We start from the raw sequence: 26,367 nt of genomic DNA, 5'->3' as shown, positions 1-26,367 counted from the left end.
GCAGGCAGATCACTTGAGGTCAGGAGTTCAAGACCAACCTGGCCAACATGGCGAAACCCTGTCTCTACTAAAAATACGAAATTGAGCCAGGTGTGGGGGTGTGTGCCTGTAATCCCAGCCATTTGGGAGGCTGAGGCACAAGAATCACTTGATCTGGGAGGCGGAGGTTGCAATGAGCCAAGATCACACCGTTGCACTCCAGCCTGGGTGACAGAGTGAGACTCCGTCTCAAAAAAAAAAAAAAAAAAAAAAAGTGACATGTGTTCTTCAAGTAATGCTCCTAAAACCAAAATGGATGTGGGGCTTCCCTGGCCTTTTCTTTCTTCCTGCTGGCTGGAGGAGGACCACAGCTGCTGCATTCGCCTTGGGCCAGAGGTAGAAGCCTCACACTGAGGATCACTGAGCCACCTCACACCCCTGAGCCACCTGCCTTTGGATTACTCTGAGAGAAAACAAATGTCTTGTTGAAGTCATTATATTTTGGGGTCTCCTTGGTCCAGCAGCTTAGCTTCTATCCTAGTTAATATAACTCCTTACTCTAATATCCCAAGAAAAACAGGGTCTTTTGGGTCTACTGATAGAGGGAAACCCTGATGTGAGGGTGTGGCCTGCTCAATCTTGAAAAGACAGCGCATACAAGGACTGGACTCTCTTTGGTGACAGAAGGCTTAGGTCTGTCTTCTGCACAGTTCGCATAGGCAGATGGCTCCCTACATCTCCTATGGGGAAGAAGAGATTTCCCCACCTTTCCTGTCTACAGAGGACAATCAATTATAATCAGCTGACCAAGCAAGACAGCATGAAAATAAGTCTATTTCCCAGTTAACAATCAGGAGGGTGTCTGCAGCACCAGTGATTCATAATAATTCCAGGAGGTCTCTGGTCCCCAAATAAATATCTTGGTGCTCTGTACTACAGACACTGGCCTAGAAGTTGCTCTGCTCTTCTTGGAAATAACAGAACCCCCTCCCTCCTCAACTCCAACTTCTGGTAAACCCATCCTCACCCATTGAGACAAGTGGGGTGAGGTGCTGCTCCTTTTTGCTAAGCTGTAGCCAACTGCCTTCAGGGAGGCCAGTAAGTAATCAACATGTACTTCCTCCAAAGGGAGGCATGTAAAAACAATCACACTTGGCTAAATTTTGTATTTTTAGTAGAGCCGGGGAGGTAGGGAAGGAGACAGTCCTGGCTAACTGAAACAGAAGGGCTCAGTGTGGGGTTGGTGATGAGGAGGGCAGGGAAGTCCGTTTTATTAGCCACGGGGAGGGGCCCCTCAGAGCAAAGAGAAGAGGACTGGAGCCTTGTATCTGCTCTTCTCAGAGTTACTGGAAGCAGGCAGATTGAGAAAAACTGGTAGGGACTGGGAAAGGTGTGAATTAGGAAATAAAGCCCATTGGAAAAGGGCACCTGAAGGAACCATCCCAGGTAGACAGCATTCCTCCACTTTTGGAGGGTGCTGTTCCAGGAGGAGGGAGAAGCATGATCACCTACTGGCCTCTCCCGAACCACAGCTGGCTTGGTTTCAGTAACCAGATTTTAAGCCCAGGAAAGGCTGAGAGCTGTGAAAACAGAAAAAGCAAATTTGGAGCCCCTGCCTCCCTAACAGGACTCTTAACACAGCTGGGGTCAGGGAAGAGCTGGGGCTGCTACTGACCAGCAGGGAGGCAATGGCAGTGCCTTGAGGAAGCTCAGAGCTTTTGAAGGCTCTGCACGGTGTGGATGAGTTGCCTAACACAACAGCCAAGTCTGCCCTTTCATCTTTGGAGAGATACAATCAGCAGCCTCACAGAATTCTGGCGGAGACAATTAGCTCGTGAATTATTTATCTAATATCTCAGCAGCCAAGGTCTTGGGGGTGCTGCTCTGCAAACTTATCCCAGGAACTTACGGACAAAAAGGTAGGTGACTTGCTCTAATTCCCACTAGGGATTTTAGCCAATCTGTCCATCTCTCTGCATGCCCTCCTGCCATACACGTACTACATGCCCTCCTCCACCATTGCTCTGGACCCAGATGCAGTCTGCCTCCCTCACTTCCTCCATTTGATCACCCTCCACCATTTAAAGCTCATCTCTTCCAAGTCTCCCCTTCATTCACTCTGCTGCAGCCACCCTGGTCTCCTTGCTGCGTCTTGAACATGATTTGTCTGACGGAACCTGCCTCAGGATGTTGATGTTTGCTGATCCCTCTGTCTGGAATGTCCTTTTTTTTTTTTTTTATGTATCAGCGTGGCCAGCTACCTGGCTTTCTTCAGATGTCTGCTCAACTGTCATCTTATTATTACAGAGGGCTTCCCTCACCTGCTTGCTCTCTGTGTTCTCCCAGGAATACCCTTCCTTCTCCTAGACACTCATCACCATCTGACACAGCATATACGTGCTTGCTTGCTTGTTGTTGGAATCCTTGCATTAGAAAGTGAGTACAATCAGGGCAGGAACTTCCCCCATTTTTCCATTTGCCTGGTTGAATTAATGAAGACTGTATAACCTAAAATCTGAAAAGAATCCACGAAGCTCTAAAACTCCAATATGCTGTCACTGCCTCTATGTTCCAAGAAATAAAGATAATTCTACCTTTAGATTGTCTTTTTTTTTTGAGATAGGGTCTTGCTCTGTCACCAAGCTGCAGTGCAGTGTATGATCACAGATCACTGCGGCCTCAAATCCCAGGCTCAAGCAATCCTCCTGTCTCAGCCTCCCAAGTAGCTACAACTACAAATGTGCACCACCACATCTGGCCTTTAAAAAGAAAAGAAAATAAACGGGGTCTCACTATGTTGCCCAGGCTGGTCTCAAACTCCTGGACTCAAGGGAGATCTTCCCACCTCAACCTCCCAAAGTGCTGAGATTACAGGTGTGAGCCACTGCACCTGGCTCTAGATTGTTTATTCAGCAAATATCTCTTGTCACTCACATCCCTTCAGCTCCCAGCTTGTGTAGGTTCTCCCCTGAAATTCCTTCCTTTCTTCCATCCTTCATTCAACCAACAAATGTCTATTGAATGCTTACTAGGTACAGGAATTCTCTCTCGCATTATTCTCATCTTACTATTCTCATGGCTGCTGCTCTAGGTGAAATCCCACTACCTTCTACCTGGCCAAATGTGAAAGCTTTCTAACCCCTGCCACTGCCTCCTTTTTCTTTCCTTCAGTTCATCCTGTTAGACACTACCTGATGAGTTTCACTTTTCTTCCTTGCTCAAAATTCCACAGTGACTCACTATTGCCTATTAAATTAAATAGAGGTTACTTATCCCAGCTTTGAAGATCCTCCACAAACTCTCAATCTATCCATGAGCCCCATCTCCTACTATTTTTAGAATATGTGCTTCAGTTAAATTGACCTAATTGTTGTTTTTTGAATGTGCCTCCCATCTCTGGAAAGAATACAAATTCTGTATACCCAAACTCTGCCTTCCAAGGGCACTCTTAAATGCCACCTCTGTGCACTTTCTCACCCAATGTAGCCTCTCCCACTTTTAAACTCCTACAACACCATGTTTATATCTTTCTTAAAACACCTGCCATATTTTCCCCTGAGTTATGGTTATGTGCAGAGGTTCCTTATTTTACCCAATAGAGAACTCTGGAGGTCAAGGACTGTATCTCAATCATCTTCATTTCCTGAGCAGCAGCTAAACCAGAATCTTGCTCAGTACACTTGCTCACTCACTATTCACTGGATTGAATTTTTAAGCCATGCAGAATGCCTTGCACAGTGCCATGTGCTCAAGGGAGTATAGATGAAAAGCAGGATGCAGTGTTTGCCCTAAAGGAATTTACCATCTAGTTATGGAGACAAGATTGCATATAGAAAATTTTACATGTAACTTTTAATTTACCTTCAGTAAGTAATCATTAAGCACCTGCTGTGTGCTAAGTATAATACAAGCCAGTGTATAATGGTCAAAATTAGTGAGGCAGAAAATAAATATGAATTAAGGCAGATTCTAGGTATACATGATACATGATGTGGCTGCCCTCAATACTTACTAAGGTCTAAGTTTTGATTCAGTAAATCAAGAGATGATAGACTTACCTGGTGATGCTGCATGTTCCAAGTGGCCCAGCTGGGGCTGTCTGGTGATTCTGTAGATCAATTCTGTAGGCCCACTGTCCTGGTCAGTGGCAGACAGCTGCAGGGTGGTGATTTTCTTCACTGAGTTTTCATCCAAGACCAGTCCTTTATTGGTGGTGATGACTGGTGGGGATTTGTCTTCTGAAAATATCAGAAATAGTGATTTGAAATGGGATCTTCTCAGCCTCCTTTCTTTAATTCTAGGCCTGGTGCCAAGAAGTAAGGTCAGAGTCATCTCTAGGCCTGTGTGTTAGAGAGCACACCAAGGAGCCAGGGCTTCGTGCAATAAAGGGGGTATGATTTTCAGTTTCCACACCAGCTAGGTAAAGGGAAGGACTCGAGCCTCGAGGTGAACAAAGTGTAAACTATATAACCTCAGAACTGCTAAAATAGTTTTATATTAGAAAATCAAATGTCTCTTTACCTAGAATGCTGATGGAAAATGACTTGTCAATCAATCTGTTGCCTTCTCCATCAACCACATCAAATTTAAAAGCAAAGCTCCCTCCAGGTTCTCCTGTTCCATGACTATATTCTACGTGGCCTATAAAAAGGAAAAAAAATCAAGATTTGCTATTAGTGCTTTCTGCCCTTATTTCTGAAGCAAGAGGTGTGAATTCAATTGGTGTTCACACCAATGAATCAGTTCACACCTTCCTCGCTTTGACACTGCTTTTGACATTTTAATCTAAAGTTTTCATTTCCTCCTTTTCCTCTCCCACCATCTACTTTCTCATAACCAAAGACCTTCTCATAACAAAATCACCCCAAGTGACATTTCTCATGGTTAAGGCTGAGCCTTTTTGGAAGATCAGCTCAGCCTCTAAGGACACCTCATGAAAACGAGATCCACAAAACTGCCCATGTGTAAATGTGCACTGACCACACCCACATCACCTGGAGTGACCCTATTATATATTGGAATCACAAGGGCAAGAAGACACAGAGCTGCACCTCACATTCTCCCAGAACTCTTCACTTTTCATTGCCCAGTTCACGGAGCAACATGGGCTATAGCCAACCAACAAATAAACTCCACATAGAACTCAAAAGGATCTAAAAGGAGAAGTACAACAAAAATGTATTACATTTTTGTTAACCTACAGCATCACTTAAAAGCATCTTTCAATTTGGTTGTGTAAATATAACCAAATCTCTGGGAAGAGGGGGCTGGTCTTATCTTTTAAAAGTAGACACCGACATATGAAATAATTAAGGAATTACTTTCCTTTTGCCTCTTCCACTCCCCTTCACTAAAGCACAGCCAGTTCCAATGAGAATTCAGCTGTTGTCAATTTTAGGTGTTAGTGTGTGGGCGGGACACTTGTTTTTTATCCGCAGGGGTATATTTCCACTTCTAAACAGAATTGCACATAATCACAAGACTGTGGATTACGTTTTCCCCAATATATAACTTTTTTTCCCTTTTGTATCCCTGAAAGCACTGTACAGTAACTACGTAGCATTTAACATTTATGCCTTTACATTACATCAGCATTTCCTGATGGAGGGATGTGCCATGTAATTTCCCCTAGGCAGCTCCGATTTATGCCCTTCCATTTTGCTTAGTTCATTAACTTGTGCTCTTTGGGGAGCTGAAAAGAGATATAAATTGCTCACCTAAGGAAGGCATAATTTTCACCTTAATCCATCCCAACTCACTTCTTTTTTCCTTCTCTCTCTCTCATATATACTTTTTAGCATCACAGCAAGTCAAAATAACTTTTTCTCTCCAAAATAGCTGCAAATGCCACCAATGCTAAGTCAAAGCATGAACACATTTCAACCAAGAAAGATAGGGCTTTTTTAAAAACAAAAAGAAAAAAAAAATAAGAAAACAAGGAAGAGAACAAATGAAGCTCCTCAAAACAAAGAGTGCACAGTTTATTGCCATAGACTACCAGATATTTAATTCTCATTTTACTAGTGTAGGTGCAGTCCACGGAAGCCTGGTAGGCAGAAGAGAACTGGCTGACCTTGGCTAATGTCTGCCTGGGTGAAACTTCGGATGGGGCCTTTAATAGAAATTTGCTCCAGGTTGCCATGCTTCATCATCTGCAGGCGCCCTGCACCAGGATCTTCCTTCATGATGTACATAACCTGATGGTCATCTGAGTCAATATCTGTCACTTTCAAGTGCTGTTCTGTGATGCGTGCTACAGACCCTTGGAAGAGAACGGAAGAGAGTAGGTTATTCCCCAACATTTCCTTTGAACGGGATGTCAAATGATTTTAGGAGACTGGAGGCTAAATTATCACATATTCATTGGATCTAGGTACCAGGCACTTGCCCTTCTCAGTTTCCAGCTGAATAAATTATAATTTCCCTAGTGAAAGAGTACCGACATTTCAATTTACTAATTTTCCCTTGAGTCAACACCTAAGCACTTTTTTCCTTCTGATCCATTTTCATTCTCTCCTATGCTCCTCCGACTCAGTGACCTACCAGTTAATACCTAGATCTGTGGAATAACTCCCAGTTCTGTGACAAAAATAACTCCTAGATCTATGATGAAACCTGCTTGGATTTAGTTTACTTACTGTCTTGAGAATCACCAAATCAGAAAAATATAGCTTTACATAAACTCAAACATATCTTGTTGCCATGTCAGACAAAGTAGTGAAAATCAGCATCCTTCAGGACAGAGGATGTTAGGAGCAAGGAGATCTGAGCCTCTGGGCCCTGGACACTGCGCAGGTGTTGGGGATGAAGATAAGGCCCTGGCTAATGGCAAACTCCTCTTCTCAGGGTCTTGTCACTTGCTTTATTACCCAGCCGCTTTATCATGTTAAAAATAGTAAATCCCGGTAAAGTAGAGCCTAGTTATTCATGCATAATACATCCTGGTGTTTGGAGTGACATGTTCTTAGTGGGTAATACCAAGAACACAAGACCCTGACCATGCTTTACCCAGGCCGTTTCTCAGAGAGCAACCTTGAGGGATGAGGTAATGTCTTCCTCTCAGACAAAAATAAGACTTGCATTCTGCTGCTGTAACATGGAGAATTCCCCAAGCTCAGTATTCCCCTCTGTGATGCATCCTACTGCACACGAAAGTGTCTGTCTGGGCCCTCTACATCACCCCTATGGGACTGGGATGGCAGAGGGAGCCGATGCAAACCTGCTGATGCCCATGCTGCCTGCTGTGCTATAAGTAACAAGAGTGCCGTATTTCTGATGGAGGAATCTTGTATCTTCTACCAGCATCCATGAAACAGTAACAGGATAGTTTATTAGCTTATAAGTAGGATAAAGTCAAATCTCAGACTTGATATTTAAGACCTTTGAGAACTACCAAGTTTTCCAATACTATTATACCATACATTTTTCACTGCAAAATACACATGAAACTAAGAACAAACAAACAACAGAACTCTAGTAAGATGCAGACACCCTGGGCAAAAGGTCCACTTCTTAATTAAGTAACTTCCTACTGCAAACTGTTCAAGACTCACACTTGTCACAGGTCCTCCAATGTTGCTTAAACATGAGCAAAATTGTGAATGTTAAACCCTAGAATACCATATCTGATAATTCTCAATTATTTGTATAATCACTTTTAATGCATGATGGTTTCCCAGCTTACCCTCCATGCATTTTGTAAAAAAATAAGCGTCTTAAAAATTCTGCTATATTTCGTTATTTGTTTCCATGGGGTTTGTTGAATGGGAGTAATGTTAGAGGAAACCTGGGCCTAGGAGGAGTTGAATAAATTAAGATTTTTGAGGGCCCTGGAAATATTATAAACTCTTCTCAATCTTTTCTCTAATTCACAGACATAAGCATTTGGTCCAAAGAATTTTAGAGGTTCACATTTGTCACTAACAATTCTTAGTATCCCAAAAACAATAGTTTTCCAAGACTCCAATCTCCCCAAGTATGGAACAGGTACTTTAAGATGCACCCACATCACTAACATGGAAGAAAGTACTGCATACTGGACAAAGAAGAAATAAGGATAGAAAAACCATGGCCACTCTCCTTTATTTCTGTGGTACCTGCTGAGAGCTGTAGGCCTTGGTTTATAGCCAAGTGAGGTGTGTCACTTGCAGGCAGTTCTGTGTAGATCTTCATCCTCCCTGTGTCCACGTGGAGGCCATCAGTGAGGGAGAACTGGAACTCATCCACGACCATGCCAGGGACACTAGGCACATACCCAACCAGCCCAGCTAGGATATCCTGGTAGGTGAAGGTTGAGCCCTGGACTAAAACTCTCCCATTCTCCAGAGGCTCAGAAGCAGTTTGCCTCCAGAGTACATGACCTGAGGGAAGAGGTAAAGAAAAGCAAAACAATGGTAGAATACACATATATATATGATTCAAAACATTGTCTGATTTTTCCAAGTAGTATGAGTCTGGGTAGAATGTCAAGTGCCTCAGAGGCTCTTGGTGCCAACAGCTTAGCATTTTACATATAACCACAGGGTGCTGCTCTGTGGCCTCATACACAAATAAAGAAGACAAAGTCCCACTTATCCTAGCTAAAAAGTCTCTTAAGGAGACACAGATGGATGTGGTAATACAGTGACTTACAAATCATATCTCCCTCCATGAATTTAAACTCACTTCATTATCTAAATCTTATTTTTCCCTTTTGCAAAGTGAAAATAGCACTCACTGTCTTTCTCTTAGGGCATCTAGAGGCAGAGATGAGAATATGCTTTAAATTCCTTTTCAATTAAGAGAGACACTAAGCATCTTTAGATTGAAGCATATATTTCTGTTCTCAAGGGTCATGTACCGCAGTGGGACAGTCAAAGTGCTTCATTCAAGAAAGCGAAAGTGAATGGAAGCCAGCTAAAATACAATGCCCAACAGTTTTTTCTATTAACCCTTCATCTACTGCAACAATTTAATCTTTAAAAGACCAATGAGCATTACGATGAATTGAGACACACCACTTGCATTCCAGAACTTTAGCCAATAACTGGAGAGATGGCTCTTAAAAAAAAGAAGTAGGTAGAAGGTCCCAAAAGTGGCTTCTGCATCTGGTTTAAATGAGGAAAAGTGTTTTTTTTTTTTTTTTACAAAAGGAACAAGTTCATAAAGACATCTAGTATGCCTCTACAAGGGTACATAAAATGGCTCAAGATTATTAAACACTGATGTCTACCCTGAGAAGACAATATGGGAACTCTGAGAAGAGAATAGGCAAATTCTGAAAACTTTTTTGCTTAAGGTTACATAGAAAAGCAAAAAAACGGCTGAAATTTAACTTCAGAGACACCAATTAACTGGGATTGAGGCTTCTTAAACAACTGATGTCTACCAGGACTCCAAAAAAATATTAGCCAGCTGTGAATTTGATTACACTTTGATGCAAAGAATGTACCATATACAAGAAAAGAAATAGTCAACTGAAATATTTGTGTTTATTCTAACAGCCCATCGGGCATCTCAATTAAGAAGCTTTTCATAGCAGTTCGTGCCCTACCGTGGTCAGGCTTTTTTGTCAATACAAAAATGAGCTCATTATCTGGGGTGTCCAGGTCTTGCAGGCTCAAAGAAGAATTGCTTATCACCACTCCCGAGCTCAGCTGCACTCTGAGGGGCTGCAAGGTCATCCTGGGAGGCTCATCGTTCTTCCTCTGATTAAAGCATAAACTATTAGATCTCACACAGATATTTAAGAAGAAAGAAAATGCACATTATTCAGAGACAGTATCATTGCTACAGAAATGTTCACCTCAAAATAGCATTTAATGTGGCACCATCTTTACTTCCCAAGCAAAATAGTTAGTTTGAAAAGAGAGCAAGTCCAGGCAACAAAATGCCCCCTTCAAAAGAAGCTGATGGACATTTCATAAAAGTTTTCTCAGATATCTTCCGTAAGTACAATGACCATATTTTCTAGACCAAAAATATGGATATGTGCTTTGACAAGTACAAGTATTAACATACTTTGAAGATAAAAGACCATACTAATATAACTCAGAACTCTCTTAGAAAATGCTAAGCATACCACAGTACCTGTAGAAGGACACTATATTTGAAAGTGTGGGTCTCTAAAGCTGTCTCCCTGCCCTGGTGCCAGCCCCTTTCCACCACTGACCCTTAAGAGTGCAGAGGGTTCTTTACATTTTATTTTCCCAAGGCAGAGGGTATTTCATTCTGAGATTTATCTTTCCCCTCCCCTGTGTCTCTCTCTCGGTAGAGCAAGCCTGTGTAGTTGCTCAAATGAGAATAAATACAGCATCAAGGAACACATTTCTTTGATGTTACAATTAAATAAATAAATGCAGTAAAATAAGAAAAGGCAAATATGCATATAGAACCAAACACAATTTCAGAGAAACATAGACATATGTAAGTTTTCATTTATATATGAGACTGGCAAAGCATCTCTGACCTTCACAAACTGTTTTTCACACCGAACAAATAAATTCAATCCTGAAATGGAAATTTAGATTTCTAACTCAAGCCTTCCCCAAATGCCAACCTTAATTCTACAAGATTCCTGAAGGCTATATTTTAAGAACGACCTTCAATTTTGAAGGTCAAATCCAATCTTCTTTGCTTTTGAGTCCCTATAAAGAAAGCTCTCTAATGGTGTGAAATATTGTGGTCAAGGGCTCAACCTTTCCAACTTCCAAAGTCTTTACCTCAATGGTGATATTGATGCTGTGAATTTCTGAACGACTGGTTCCATCACTCACATAAAAACTAAAAATATCATGGGTTGGCTCAATGCTTTCATGAACACTCTGAAAGTAGTAAATGTAGTTTTCCAGGACGTCTTGAATAGGAAATGATGCCTCTAGGTCACTGGCAGTTTCAGGGCCAAAACGATCACCTGCATCAACATCAAGAGAGCATTTTTACCTTGATCTATCAATTCCTGCTTACTAGGCTGAACTAGAAAACAAGGTATCATTTTCGGCAAAAAAAAAGAAAATGTATTTGAGGATAAAGTTGGGAGAGTGGGATAAGCACAAGACCAGGAATTGGAAGGCCTGGGTCAGATCCGTTTCCTCACTGACTATTTCTCATCTATAAATGGATATACCTGCCCTGCCATTTCCAAAAGGAATCAAATGAGATAATATGCAAAAAAACTTACAATAATTTATATAACATAGAACCACTGGTTGTTTTATTAGGAGTCTCTGATCATAACTTCTGTTACTAGGGCAAGTGACAATACAGAAGCAGAGATTCTACCTTAAGCTCCAGCTAGTTTCAAAACCATTCTATCTGGCATATCCTGCATGAGGAACCCTCTTTCACTACATAAGAAAATGTTAAATGCATATCTTTTAATCTAAAAACATCTGTAGTGTTAACTGTGTATCTTTTAATCGAAGAAACATTTGCAGCATGTTTTCATTGGACCTCCCAGTTTCTTAAGGGAACCTCTGCATGGGTCAGAGCCCAGCCCCTGGGATAGAGCACCAGGGCTATTGTGATGCTCCAGGACCATTCAGAGCTCAGGTACCATTCAGATACTATGATGCTCAGGTGGGATTCAGGCACTGAGGCGCTTGGGTACCACCATTCAGGTACCGAGATGCCCAGTTACCATTCAGAGCTCCACAGAAAATGCTGGCTCAGATTACTCCTCTCATCCCAACCCCAAACACTGCAAAAGGCCCAGGGGAAGAGTAAGCAATATCTAAATGATAGATGTCTTGTTTTTTACTTGATTTTAATTTGAGTCTAACTGATTGATTTGAAATTGTCATCACAATGTTATTCTAGAGAGAGGAGACCAAGAAAACCCTTGTGTCTTCAAACATTGCCTGGATATACATCAACACAGAAAAGTGCAGCTAGCAGATCTGAAGGCAACAGGCTTTCCCCTTCCCTTCTCCATGACCCTTTGCAAAAATCAGATCCAAAATTAAAAGGCTATTAACTTCCTGAATTATAGACAGTGTCATATTTATTAGAATTCATTTGAAAGAAGAGCTCAACACCATTTTTTTTTCTTCAATAACATGAATTTTTTTAAATTTTACCCCTCAGATTTTATTCCTCTAGGCAACAGAAGCTGAGAGAGGTCTAAGCGGCCAGTGACCCAATAATCATTAGGCTATACAGTTCAGGGTTTCCAGAAGGAACGGCTAAAATTCCTTCCAATTTTTACTTTTTTCTTAAATTTATCACTCTAAACAGGAGAAATGTGGCTTCTTTATTTGAGTCAAAAATGGCCCAAGTAGTGACTGGGCATGGTGGCTCATGCCTGTAATCCCAACACTTTGGGAGGCCAAGGCAGGAGGATTGCTTGAGCCCAGGACTTCAAGACCAGACTAGGCAACTTAGTGAGACCCTGTCTCTACAAAAATTACCCCACCAAAAATTTGCCAGGCATGATGGCGGATGCCTGTAGTCCCAGGTACTTGGGAGGCTGAGGTAGGAGAATCACTTGAGCCTGGGAGGTCGAGGCTACAGTGAGTAGTGATTATGCCATTGCACTCTGACCTGGGCAATGAGGCGAGACCCTGTCTCAAAAAAATAAAAAGCCTAAGTAAAGTAAATGATGCCTAAAAATATACACAAATATAATAGTGCCTCATTTTAAATCACTGGAGAACAAGCTATTAAACAAGTGAATCTGTCACTGAAGCTTTAAGCTCCAATCCTTTACATTTAAAAAACATTACCTTCTATTTTTGACATAAATCATTCTTATTAATGTGCTACCTGCTTTCTTAAACAGAACATATGATGTGCAAATTAAATAGGTGTTGATGCGCACAGGCGATCATTGTGAACATCCATCACTGCATAGCACTGGAATATAGTGATACCCAGAGGGAATCAAGGTGGGTCCTGTCTTGTCTGTGCCAGTCCTGAATGAATTCAGGCTCCATGCCATTAGATTTCATACCTAACAAAACAATTATTCTTTCTTTTCTTGGTGAAAAGTAAAAGCTGGTTCTTTTAACAGTTTTTAAAAAGATGTTTTTCTGATCAGCTAGGTTCTGAATTTAGGTAGCTAGTTTCTTTTCTTTTTTGAGGTACGGTTTCCCTCTGCTGCCCAGGCTGGAGTGCAGTGGCATAATCACAGCTCACCACAGCCTCAAATTCCTGGGCTCAACTGATCCTCCTGCCTCAGCCTCCCAAGTAGCTGGGACTACAGGCATGTGCCACCACGTCTAGCTAATTTTTACATTTTTATCCTTTTCAGTGGAGACAAGGTCTTGCTATGTTGCCCAGACTGGTCTCAAATACATGGACTCAAGCGATCCTCCCACCTTGGCCTCCCAAAGTGCTGAAATGACAGGCTTGAGCCACTGTGCCCAGCTGCTAGTTTCTTATACATAAGTCACACTCAGCTCTAAACAGAGGCGGAGGAGCCTCTTCCATGGGGCAAGAGATGGGGTCTTTAGTTAATATACCTTGTGACAATTATTTTGCCCTCCTAAATGCTTTTTTGTTCCTTTCACATTTATACCAATATTATTGTAGAGCAGCAGTTCTCTAAGTGTGGTCCTTGGGCCAGCAGCAATGGCATCACCTGTGAGCTAATGAGAAATGCAGATTCACAGGCCCACACCAACCTCCTAAAACAGGAACTCTGGGGTTGCTGCTCCAGGAAACTGTTTCACAACACTTTCAACCCTCCAGGTGATTCCACTGCACCTTAAAGTTTGAGAACCACTTTTTAGAGAGGCTGAAGCTTGCCAGAAATTTGACTTCTTAGCCAGGGAATAGTCCTCTCTATGGAGTATCTCTGCACCTCCATGTATTCCAGGTTGACATAAAACCATGTTAGGAAGGCTTAATAAGAAACCACGCAGAGAGAAGGGGTGTTTGGGGTAGATATCCTTTCATTTCTCACCTTTGCCTATGAGCTTCCTTCTGCAAGAAAGGCCACTTTCCCTCTGCCCAGGGTGATTCCTACTAGCCCTTCAGGTTCCAACTCAAATGCCACTTTCTCAGACTTTTCTGCCTTCCCAGGCAAAAGCCATTGCTTTGTCCTACTTACTCTCTCAGTGCTTTGCTCCTTTCCCTGTCCTGGCATTTTGCATTTATTGTAATTTGTCAGTCTTCCTATCTGTCTCCCACTCAAGGCACATGAGTCTGTGTCTTATCCTTACATCCACTTTATCTAGCACAAACATTTGTTGAAATAAACCTAATTCTGCAATAAACAGATCTAAGGCACACATTGAAAGGAAAGATGGGAAAAGGATCCAAAACTTCTGTAGGAAAACATGACCACTGCTAAGTGAATTTCTGGTTACCAGGCTGAAATCCCAGGCCCCATGCTGGCCCCAGACACCTGCAGTCAATGGACTCTCCATGGGAGCTGCTAGCTGCACACCAATTAGAGCCCAGTGCTGGTGCTCAGGCAGCTCCGTGCAGGGAAAGCCGCACAGCAACCTGCCATGAGCTGTCTCAATTGCCAGTCACAGAAGGTCTCAGGGGGCCATGGACAGTACATCCCTTCTTGCCTTTCCTTCTCTGTGATAACCACCAGAGTGTTCAGGGCAGATGGTGGAGGGGAGGGCTGTGGAAGAGAGTGTCACAGATAGACAAGCTTGCATTTTAATTCATATCATATATGTAGAAGGAGCTGAGACAGAAGCTATGGTTCAGCTAAACTGCAGCTGCCTCACAATAAAAGGACAGGAATTTTTACTTCCTGGACACTCATTTCTGAGTGTAATCCACAAGCCCTTCTGCCCCATTGCTGGCATTCCAAATCCCCTTCCCCTGCTCTATTTTTTTCCATAATATTTATTCACCTTCTAACATCGTACTCAATCTTCTCATTTATTAGGTTTTTAATTTGTCTCTCACCCCCCCACCAGAATTGAAGGCACTGTGAAGGGAGGGGGTTTTGTCTGTTGATACATCCCTAGTGCTTAATTAAATAAGTTCCCCGCACACAGAAAATGCTCATTAAATTTTTGTTGAATGAATGAAACCTTCCTACCTTCCTTCCATTTCTTTGAAATGGTTCCCCTCCTCTGTAGTTCTCCATCTCCATCTTTAGCTGGAAGCAAGGTCCTCCTCCCTCTCCCCTCCCTTCTCTCAAGGTCCTTAACAGTTTTACAGGAAGTAGTACCTGTTCCTGTGTTCTCAATGCAGCCATATTTGGGCAGAGCACTTAGTTTAATGATGGCATCTCTCTGGAGGTTGTCATCATCATCAGTAGCAAAAAAATGGTGAAATGAGAGTGGTGCTCTCCCTCCCTCATCAACCTAAGAAAGAAAAGAACATAGAGAGTCCTTGGTGATTTCACATAACCACAGTAAAAAAAGAGCTGGATTGCAAAGTGCTGCCTGGGTGACCTTCTAGCACCAATTCTGCTTCTTTGAGGAGGCAGACCATCTACAGACGAGATGAGGAATGTGTATGCTGCTGAAGCCAGGCAATCTTTCAGTGCCTCTCAAAGCTACAGTCAGACATGATGACTTCTGTATCTCCCTTCAAAGTTGCACTCCATTCAATGATGGATCTGGTTATAAAGCAGCTCTAGCCCATTCTAATCACCCACCTCGGTTCAGCTGCCTGCCAGGATGGCTGCCTTCCTTCCACATCAACATTCAAAAGCCCACAGCTAGAGAATGATAGATCCAGTTCTCCTGCGGATACTGTGAGGGTGACTGTGTCCTATAGGCATTCTCATCCAGAATAAAAGTCCTGTTTATTCTCTTATATTATATATTTATAGGTGTGTAGCAAGAAAGGTTCACCATATCTGAAAGCTAGTGCTTATCTTAATGTCAAGGAAGAAAATAAATCACTATAAGTAAAAGCAGTTGCTCAAACTAATTTTTTTTCCTTTAGAGCTCTATTTTGTATGCTAACCCCACAATCTGAGCCTGGTGTTTTTCTCTAGCCTGCTGGAGATGGTCAAGCAATTTCACCCTGAACAACTCTTGGCTAACTGTAGGAAGATCTATAAATTACAAAGGGGAAGGTCACTCTGACTCTGGGAATGGGGACAGTCCAAATGGCTTTTCCAAGGTTTTATGTAAAAATGGAAAAATGGGAGGAATATCAGAACCACTTAGAAATGACTTAGTTTGGCCGGGCCCGGTGGCTCACGCCTGTAATCCCAGCACTTTGGGAGGCCGAGGCGGGTGGATCATGAGGTCAGGAGATCGAGACCATCCTGGCTAACAAGGTGAAACCCCGTCTCTACTAAAAATACAAAAAAAATTAGCCGGGCGCGGTGGCGGGCGCCTGTAGTCCCAGCTACTCGGGAGGCTGAGGCAGGAGAATGGCGTGAACCCGGGAAGCGGAGCTTGCAGTGAGCCGAGATTGCGCCACTGCAGTCCGCAGTCCCGCCTGGGCGACAGAGCGAGACTCCGTCTCAAAAAAAAAAAAAAAAAAAAAAAAGAAATGACTTAGTTTTATGAATTTTCAGTTGCTCAACAAAACCAGAAAAATTCCTGAGCTTTTGGCATTATGGTATGTACATAGAGCAGGGAGGAAAGTGAATTAACTTCTGTGGAATCCCTACCATGAACTGGGTACTGCACTAGGGGGTTTCCATACTATTTTATTAATCATTAGAGAAATTCTTTATGTAGTAGAAAATGATAATATTTTAAAGACAAGAGCCAGGTATGGGACTACAGGTCCATAGTCTCACTTACTAGGGAGGCTGAGCGGGGAGGATTGCTTGAGCCCAAGAGTTGCCAGTTCAGCCTGGGCAACACAGTGAAACCTCCTCTCTTAAAAATAAATAAAAATAAATAAGAGAATTAAAAAAGACAAGGAAACAAAACATAAAATAAATAAAAATATAAAAGACAAGGAAGCTGAGGCAAAGAAAGATTAAGTGTACGGCCCAAGGTCACTCAGCTGATGAGTCACAGAACTGGCACTTGAACTGATGTCTGGGTATTCAATGATCAGAATGCATTGTATTGCTCTGCCCACAAAGGAACCGTCAATATTGTTTACAGTGCTAAGTACTGACTTGATTTAAGGAGTGATTTGGGGTCATTGTCCAAGTTTTAGTTGCTGCCAATATTAGATTGTAAACTCCTCAAAGATATAATATTTTTCTATTTTTATTCCCAGTACTAACAACATTTAGCATGGTGGCTAGCACATAAATATTTGTTGACTAAATAATGCAGATATAATGATTTGATCTTCTGCATATTTATTTTCATACTTAAAAAAACACTCATGATTGAAAACCATGCATATCTTCATACCGCTGCCTGGATATTTTGGGGGAAATATTTGGCAGCCAATTTAGGCAGAAATCCTTCATTTACATTACTACGGATTCCAGCTCTCTATAGTACTCACTGTTTATTGATCTGAGAATTGTTTACCGTGATAAGGTCAGCAAAAGCAATGACTGGAGGTGGATTTTCAGCAGGAGTGATCATGATGGTAAATATCTGATTATCCAGATGGTTGTGGTCCATGTCAGAGACAGAGAAATAGAAGCTATCAGTAACCAGATGACCATCAGTTTCAAACACAGCTGAGTATCTATAAAAAAACAAAAAGAATCAAATGAATAAGCCACGATGACAAGCCAGGTAAGACAGCAGCATCTTTGTTTAAAAATGGGGCCAAACCAATATATTCTTTCAACAGAGCTACAACCAGTTGCTGAAATATTTTCATACAAGTTTTTAAGAATCTGTCAAATAATACAAAGTGATTATGTACCTGATTTTCTTGTTATTGATGTCTTCCATTGTGAAATTGGAAACTTCTGAGAGCTCTTCCACCTCAGATCCTGAGATTCTTAAGAGAGTACCATATGAGGGCAGATAATTTAACTGAATCCAGATCTCTGGGTCGGGGGAAGAATCATCCTAATGAGGCAAACATGAGGCAGGACATGAACGCACATTTGCAGGAATAAACACTTCCAGTAGCTAAAGATCTATGGGTGCTTCTCTCTCTGCTAATTGGAAAAGTCTCTTTCTCTTTGTCTTAAAGTCTCTTTCTCTTTGTATTTCAAACTACAATAAAAATCCCAGTGTTTATTCTTCCCCAAATTCCTCTTTGATAACATATTTTTCTAAGAGTAGCTCAAGGTAAGAGAAGGGAAATGCACTTTAGGTATGTGGCATAAAACAAAGAGATTCCCTGTTGTTATCAATACCATAAAAGCCATACAAGATTTCATTTTTAAGCTTTTAGTAAAAATAAAACTTGATCATCTATAAGTCATCAACCTGTAAACACAGATGTAGGATTTTTCTAGAGTTTCTAAGAATGTTTTGCTTTTAAGAAACAGGCAAAATTTCTTTATAACATATAATACGATAATAAAATTCCATGAAACAGAAAAGTTATTTAGCTTAGCCAATGGCTCACTTTAAGCAATGTTCAACGTGATAAAATTTTAGATTAACAAAAGAATGTATGAAGTCATGGATTTCATTTTATCAGCACCAAATCTATGAATGTTCACTTCCCAAGATGCCTAATCTTAACAAAGAACATTTCTCTTCCCTTCTACATTGTTTGTTGAGAAATAAAAATGACTTTCTCTGTTTCAACACAGACAATAACAATGTCCTGTTTCTTCAAGAATATTTTTGGAAATATCTGGGAGGCAGGCAACATCTTCTTATAAAGTTTCCCTGAGTCATTCATTTTTTAGGGCTGTTGATTGTGAAAATGGGGGCACTCTGCCCTTTACCACAGCAACAATGAAAATTAATGTTGCATGGTCACTTGTACTTTCAAAAGCAAATTTTCATGCTATGTTGTACAGTTAGTTGAGGTACAGGATCAGGAATGTGAGCACAGACACCAAGAGGGCGGGGGCCAACAGGTTTCAGTCTGTTCTCATTTCTATCCCCAGAGACCTATCAAAGTTAGTAGTTCAGAGTCTCAATTCAAGATCACTGAATTTTCCATATTTCCTCATATCACTTGACACTAGCAAGAAAGGAATCTAAAATTCATCAAAGCTGCAAGACTTCAGAAAGTTTTCCCTAAATTTATGTTCTTTTAAACTTTCTCCACTTGGATTATCAAATACAACATATAGACTCCAAAAGACTGCTTCTTAATATTACTGTGCGTTCTCTCTGAGAGAGACTTTTAAAAAGACAGCTGAGAGTTTTAAGGTGTTGTCTTCTGAATTGCTGATAAACTATAAGGACAGAGCTCCTGGCTCCTAGTTAGAATGAATAACTTCTAAATTTCACATTGACAAATTTGACCAAAACACTGCTTATTTCATGGCAGGCATATCTTACTATATATTTCAAATCTCATATAACTGCTAGGTTTGAAAAAGTAGGAAATCAGCTAGACTTTTTTCCTGAAAGTACTGTCATGATTTAAAGAAAATCACTATTTTAAGATATCCCAGATACTGGAGGTACAAAAAATGCATAAGAATACAGACCTTGTTCTCAGGTAACTTTTCTGCTCAAAGATCTTCTTATCCCTTTTGTATTAATTTATTTTTTCATTTTCTTTTCATTATTTTTACATCAATGAACCCATCATTCAACACGAGGACTAGAGCTTTGAGAATAACTAACATTTATGTATGTGGCCCTTCTTCCTGTCTCTGGGCCTCCCATCACCCTAAATCTTGTTTCTTATTTTCTTGAATTTTTAAAAATAGCTTGATATATTACTACAGAATACATATTTTTCATTTTTTTAACTTAGAAATATGAAAAAAAGAAATATGAAGTTGACTTTACTCTTTTGCAATTTTTTTTTTAACTCAACATTAGACTGCTAAGATCCATCTATACTGTTGGACGTCGCTATAATTCATCTGTCTTTAGGTTCGCTAATATTCTGTCAAGTTAGTAGACCACAAGTTATCCTATCTTGTGGTGGGCATTTGGTTTGTTTCAATATTTTCACTGTTACAAACAGTAGTGCTATGAACATTCTTGCACAAGTTCTTTGCTGTGCATGTGAAAGTTTCTTTTGGGTAGTAATCCAGGATTAGAATGGTTAGGGTATATGAATATTCATCTTCACGTGGCAATGCCAAATTCCTTCCCAAAGTGGTTGATCCAGTTTACGCTCCCACCAGCAAAGTAAAGAACATCCTGTGGATCCATTGTCTTCCTCACACTTGGTATAAAATGGTATATGGTTTTAATATGCTTTCCCTGACCACTAATGAAGGCGACTATCTCTTCATATGTTTATTGACCACCCGGGTTCCTCTTCTGTGGAATTCCTGTTCATGTCTCTTGCTTATTTTTCTACTTGATTATCTTTTTCTTCTTGATCTGCAGGAGTGTTATATTTTCTTTGTTATTTTTGGTTATATTTTTTGCAAATATCGTTTTCCCATTTGTAACTGGCCTGTTTGCTGCTTTGTGGTGTGTTTTGATGAGCACAAATTTAATTTTTAATATAGTCAAATTTACCAATCTTTTATAGTTAGACCTTTTTGTTTCTAGTTTAAGATGTTCCGCCCTTCCTTAATATCATAAAAAATATTAACTTATATTCTACAAAGATTTGTAAAATTTTACTTATGGTTTTTCAGTACTTGATCTGTCTGTAGTTAATATCTGCATAGGGTGTGAGGCAGTATACAAATTCCTTTTTTGTCATACATATAATCATTTTGTGCAGAACCATGTTTTAAAGAGTTTCTCCTATTTCCACTGCTCCGGCTTGCTATGACTGGTTGTTTTTTTTTTTTTCTTGAGACAGAGTCTCACTCTGTTGCCAAGACTGGAGTGCAGTGGTATGATCTTGGCTCACTGCAACTTCCACCTTTTGGGTTCAAGCTATTCTCATGCCTCAGCCTCCTGAGTACTGGGATTATAGTTGCACACCACCATGCTGGGTTAATTTTTGTATTTTCAGTAGAGACAGGGTTTCGCCATGTTGGCCAGGCTGATCTCAAACTCCTGACCTCAAATGATCTACATGCCTCGTCCTCCCAAAGTGCTGGGATTACAGGCATGAGCCACCGCACCCAGCTAGCATCTCTGTTTTATATTACAGTTCCATGTGTGAGTCTGCTTTTGGATTGTCTAATATATTCCTCTGCTACACTATTTTAAATGCTGTATATTTCATACATGTTGGTATCTGGTAAGGTAAATCCCCTTGCCCTCCTAATATTCTTTTTCAGAATGTTCATTGTTTGTTTTTGTTTGTTTGTTTGTTTTTGAGAAAGGGGCTTGCTCTGTCATCCACCCTGGAGCAAGTGCAGAGTGTAGTGGTCCAATCAAGGCTCACTGCAGCCTCAACCTCCTGGGCTCAAGCAATCCTCCCACCTCAGCCCCCAAGTAGCTGGGACTACAGGTATGAGCTAACATGCCTGGATGATTTTTGTATTTTTGTAGAGACAGGGTCTTGCCATGTTGTCCAGGCTGGTGTTCTTTCTTACATATTTTAGAATCAGCTTACTAAGTTCCATAAAAAGTCCATTAGGCTTTTGATTGGAACTGAATTGAATTGAAAGATCGTTTGGTAAGGGAACTGATGCCTTTTCAATACTAAATGTTCCTACTCATGAATATGGCATGTCTTTTCATTTATTTAATACGTTTTAAACATCTGTCAATTAAATGTTATAATTTTCCCTGTAAAAATACTGCCTGGTTTTTGCTAGATTTAGACCAGGGGACATGCTTTTTTCTTAATGCTATTATGGTAAGATCTTTTTAGTTATATTTACTGGCTTTTTTCTTTTTTTGCTTATATATAGAAATGCTATTGCTGTCTGTTGATCTCATATCTGGCTCCTTGATAAATTCTCCTTTTTTTCTAATACTTTTTGTCAAGAGATTATTTTCTACATAGTCAGTCATAGCATCAATTTTCCCTAGAAGTTACATAACTTTTGTTACATTTACTCATAGGTATGTAATATGTAATGTTATTATACACAGAATCATATTTCAAATAATTTTATTTTTGGCTGGTTCATAGAAATGCTATTACCGTTTTAAGATTAATTTTATCCTTCCCATATTACATATGGGAAAACCGAGGCCTAGAGAGTTTAAGTAACTTGCTAAGGGTCACAATGCTAGTAAGTGGTGAGCTTGGATTAAGATCCATCCATTTTAACTCCAGAACCCATGCTGTTCTTTTCCTGTTTACTCGCAGTGCATAGCAAACTGTGTATATAAGACCACTGCTAAGAAGCAAATTATACAAAATCCAACTTTTGCCTTTTTGTCTCCTCCAACATTGTATCACTCTCTTCCAGTTAATAACACTTAAACTAAGAACAGACTCATCTGTTCCTAAACCTTTATACTCTGCCCCATTTGTGACTAGGATTTCAGATGGCTTTTCCAATCTTTCTACATGTTCACTGAAAACTTTCTAACTATGCATATCTGGAAAAGTTTTTCCATGACTCTTAGTACAAAATCCTTCTACAACCCTTAGAGAAAGTTAGTGTATAACCTACCTAAGTCTTTAAAATGTATGCTATGCTTTCAGCAGGCTAGAATAGTTCTTTTGGAGTTTTTCTGCTCTGGTGGGTAAATTCACATTCAATCAATTTCTGAAAATACATATTCAGTTGCCAATGGGCTTGCATTTTGATATGCAGCTTATAATATGCAGTTAATGGGCAGGAACTGCTCCTGGAGCGCTATTTTGGACTGTGAAACATTTTTCAAGCTCTGGTGATCGTCTGATTAAATCTGAATTCATACATTTTTATGAATTCACGAGTTTCATAAGATTCAAAAAACCATAACTTACAGTAAAAATCACCTGTCAATTAAAAACAAAAAACAAAATCAAAGCTGTTCTGAAACTAGAATAGACCCGTGAGAAGAATTAGGGTGGAATGCAGTCTCCCATAACTGAAGAAAGGACCATTTGAGGGGAAAATCTGTGTAAAAGCAATTGTTCCCAGGCTAATGCTTGATCTTACATGCTGCTATTCAGGACTACATTTTATAGTGAGATTCTTCAGCCCAGAAAAGGGTTACTTAAAAGTATACGGCATTAAAAAAATAAAAGTCTAGGTCATTAGTTGGAACTTTAAGATTAGTAAAGGAAAAATTCAATATGATTAGCATTCAGATAATCATTCTTCCTTTCAAGGCATTGTAAAAACTAGTCATTATTATGTTTACATAGAGAGCACATATCTGCTTACAACATACATAACTGTAAAATAAAATTAATCATCCTCATTATCCTTAGCTCCTGAGGTAGAATCAAAGGAAGAAGATGAGTTTAATTACCCAGGATCACTTATAAAGTTAGGGCCAGACCAGGAAACAAACTCTAGTCCTTGATCCTCTCCTTGGCCTCCTAATTACACTGCTTCTTGTGGGGCAAAAGAAGGAGGGTGAGTCAGTGAACTGGCTGGGAAATCTGACAGAGAGGCACTGCTGCAGGGATTTTTCAGCATTCCATCTAGACTAGACCTGAGACAGAAACTGATGACAAGTGGGCTTTCTCTCAGGGGCTGTGAAACATCATTACCTACTAGTCATTGATCACATAAGCTCTAAAATGTTTTTTTCCTAAACTTCCCATTGGGAATATAATGAATGGAGCTTAAACAATGGGAACTTGGGCTTTTATGGCACTAGGCCCCTCTTCTGTTGACAAACACCCATCCCTACACATACTCATCGTGTTTTCTCATTCACTTGTCTGCTCATGAGACACTGGGAGAAGCAGGATAAACAGCATAACTACTCCTAACAGTAGAAGGTAGGGAAGCTGAGAAAAATGTTCTTTACGTGACCATATACCTGCTGCCCCAAATATTCAGCCATGGCATTGCTGCCCAGTCTGCCCCATCAGAAGATGCGGCGGTGGAGAACAAACACAGCAAATGGAAGAACTTACCACGTAAGCAAGGTGTGACCTAGTGATTATGGCTGTGCTTTTACTGGCAACAGTAATGCTCAGAGAGGAGCCAGCAGCCAGTCGAGGCCCTCGGTCTTCTGACAGGGACACCTCTACTCTCACCTCCAGCATTGTCACTGTGAGGCCATCTGTGACTGAGATCTCCATGCTGTCTTCCCGGGTAGAGGAACCATCATGTATATACTGTAGAGCATTTTTCTCAACATCCTCATAGGTGAAAGTGTCACCTTCCAAGAATAAAACAAATTGCAAACGAGTTGCTTCTGGGAATAATGCTTTTCATTATATAGCACCTTTGTTTTCAGGACTTTAAGGTTCATATAGGATCATAACTCAGGGAGTTACAGGCTAATCCAACCACTCACCTACTATAGGATTCCCTTTACACCACCGTTGAAAAAGGGTAATTAGTTTCTCCACTTTTCAAGGTGGGAGGATCATTGTTTTACAAGATAGCTAATTCCACTGAAGATAGCTCTAGGTTTGTTTTTAAGTTCTTAATCATATTGAGCTAAAATCTGCCTCTATAATATCTAGTCATTATTCCTAGTTCTAGAAAAATAAAGAACAAGCCTCTATTCTTTATGACAGCTCTTTTGGAATCTTATCTTGATACTGAAAATTTTTTGAAAAAGTTAAGAAAATAAATTATACTTGATGAACCTTTAAGAAGTTTTTGCTTTATTTGGAGTTTTTAAAATTAAAAATGAAAAAAATATACTTTAAGTTAGAAACCTAAACTGTGCAGTCTGGAGTACTAATTCATGAGAAATTTGATCGGCATTATGTAAAAAAAAATTTCAAGTTCACATACCTTTGTGGAAAATGTGAATAAATAAAATTTAAGATATTTTTTATACTGCAGGATTCATTTTAGTATATAAGTATTAAAGCTTCTCAAACTTGTCATGGAACCCTTTTTATGAGAAATGCCTCTTAGTGCCATGAGCCCTAATGATTTCACAGAACACAGTTGTGAAATTGCTCTTCTTGGATATTATATTCAACTCTATCTTTTGATAGATTATTAGTTCTAATAACTAGTGCTATGTATTGAGATTGAAGAATTTACTCATTCTGTCTATTCATCTTCTAAGCCTTCTGTCTCAACACTGTGTTAATGTATTTTACTGGTGCTCGTGGCATTATGCCTATGAAAACGTAATAAAACTAACTTTTTATCAACGCCTTTAGATTTTATATGTTAACTGCACATATACAGAGTAAATGCAATGTTAAAGAAATTAGACAATGACTGTTATGTTCCTAAAGTAGTCTCCTGGGAATGTTTCAAATCTATTCTAATGACATTTCTTTAGTTCAGTAAATTTTTGAGTCTACCTTTGTGACTCCCAAATGCTTACTGGTTGTTCTTTAAAATTCCATCTACCATCAGTAGCAAAGATTAGCCCACCAGTGATATTCAGAAGGATGGATTACTGCATCTCTAAAAGGAATCATACAAAGGTTTTGAGAAAGTAGAGATTGTTGGAAGAACATATAGCATCCAGAGGTGGGTACTTTGAAAAGGATAATATTCACTTCAATGAATAAGGGCTGACTATTAAAAAATTAGATTCACTTGTGTTCTTTGTGTTTTTCTGTACCTTCTAAATAATAAACATATATTATTTTTTATAATCAAAGGAAGCACAATAAGAGTTATTTTGGAAAGCCGATCACATTACCACACTGTTATATCACATAGATAATACTTCAAAAATGTGTTCCTTTTTTTAATGGATGAAGATAGATGTAGTTAACACTATCAGAGTCACAGCGCTAAAAATATTGTGAAGATTCACATACCAAATTAAGACCGATTCATCTCCATGAACAGTGCTAGGAAAGTGGCAGCTGATCCCTCATATGGTGTCATTCTGAATGCATTTACTCCAAGTTTCAGAAATCACCCATTTCACCTATAGTTTAAGGAACTGGTTTCACAGGGTTCAAGGTGGGGCCGGGGGCAGGTGTGGGGCAGGGATGGAAGTGGGAACACGAAGAAGTCTCAAATATCAAAGCCAATGAAACTACACACAAAATAGCTCCTCATAGTCTGTATCACAAAGACGCTTTGCTCTCGTCTGAGACACATAACAACTGATTGTAGAGCAAAAAATCCTCCAAGCAGGTCAGTGACAGAGTGTGTAGGTGTGTAGCTACCTGTGGCCATCGGCCTTCGGAACTCAGCTGTATGCTTAAGAAGCACACCATGCTGTGGAGGTCTCCGAAGCTCAAAGAAGAGTTCTTTGGGCGCTGTCTCAGCATCTCTTACTACCACCTGAAGTCCTGCAGCAAGGAGAAGGAAGCGTGGTGAGAGAGAAAGCGTATGTTAAAGACGATAGACTATATATTAAAACCGCAGGCCAGGCTAGGAGTCATGCTGTGGGTAATCTGATTGTTATCAGAAAGCACTGCTTCATTCCAATCAGGCACAAAAGAGTAAAAACAGATAATACAGTCAATTCCTACACTGCAAGTAGGTGCTTCCAAAAGTTCATGTAAGGTAGTTCTGAATTTAGAACACCTTTTTTCTTCCATACAAATGACAGCATG

At 40.1% G+C, this 26,367-nt stretch overlaps 1 protein-coding gene across 2 annotated transcripts in view; it reads right to left on the bottom strand.

Annotated features, from left to right (window-relative positions):
- Window positions 1-26,367, bottom strand: part of FRAS1 (Fraser extracellular matrix complex subunit 1) — a 486,947-nt gene that overhangs the window by 87,878 nt on the left and 372,702 nt on the right. The window contains exons 37-47 of one of the 2 annotated variants that reach the window (NM_025074.7): window positions 25,975-26,100; window positions 23,788-24,035; window positions 17,674-17,822; window positions 17,328-17,490; window positions 15,095-15,230; window positions 10,680-10,870; window positions 9,512-9,665; window positions 8,076-8,339; window positions 6,053-6,241; window positions 4,501-4,620; window positions 4,038-4,217 (exon numbers count right to left, since the gene is read on the bottom strand). In NM_025074.7, the coding sequence (NP_079350.5) occupies window positions 4,038-4,217; window positions 4,501-4,620; window positions 6,053-6,241; window positions 8,076-8,339; window positions 9,512-9,665; window positions 10,680-10,870; window positions 15,095-15,230; window positions 17,328-17,490; window positions 17,674-17,822; window positions 23,788-24,035; window positions 25,975-26,100 (1,920 nt within the window). Of the gene's footprint in view, window positions 1-4,037; window positions 4,218-4,500; window positions 4,621-6,052; window positions 6,242-8,075; window positions 8,340-9,511; window positions 9,666-9,758; window positions 10,871-15,094; window positions 15,231-17,327; window positions 17,491-17,673; window positions 17,823-23,787; window positions 24,036-25,974; window positions 26,101-26,367 lie in introns of those variants that run through there. The other variant, NM_001166133.2, reaches the window with a different exon arrangement.

Source organism: Homo sapiens, chromosome 4, assembly GCF_000001405.40.
Source record: "Homo sapiens chromosome 4, GRCh38.p14 Primary Assembly".
NCBI classification, from domain to species: domain Eukaryota; kingdom Metazoa; phylum Chordata; class Mammalia; order Primates; family Hominidae; genus Homo; species Homo sapiens.
The sequence above is the reverse complement of the archived record's forward strand: the minus strand, read 5'-3'. Positions and strand labels throughout refer to the sequence as shown.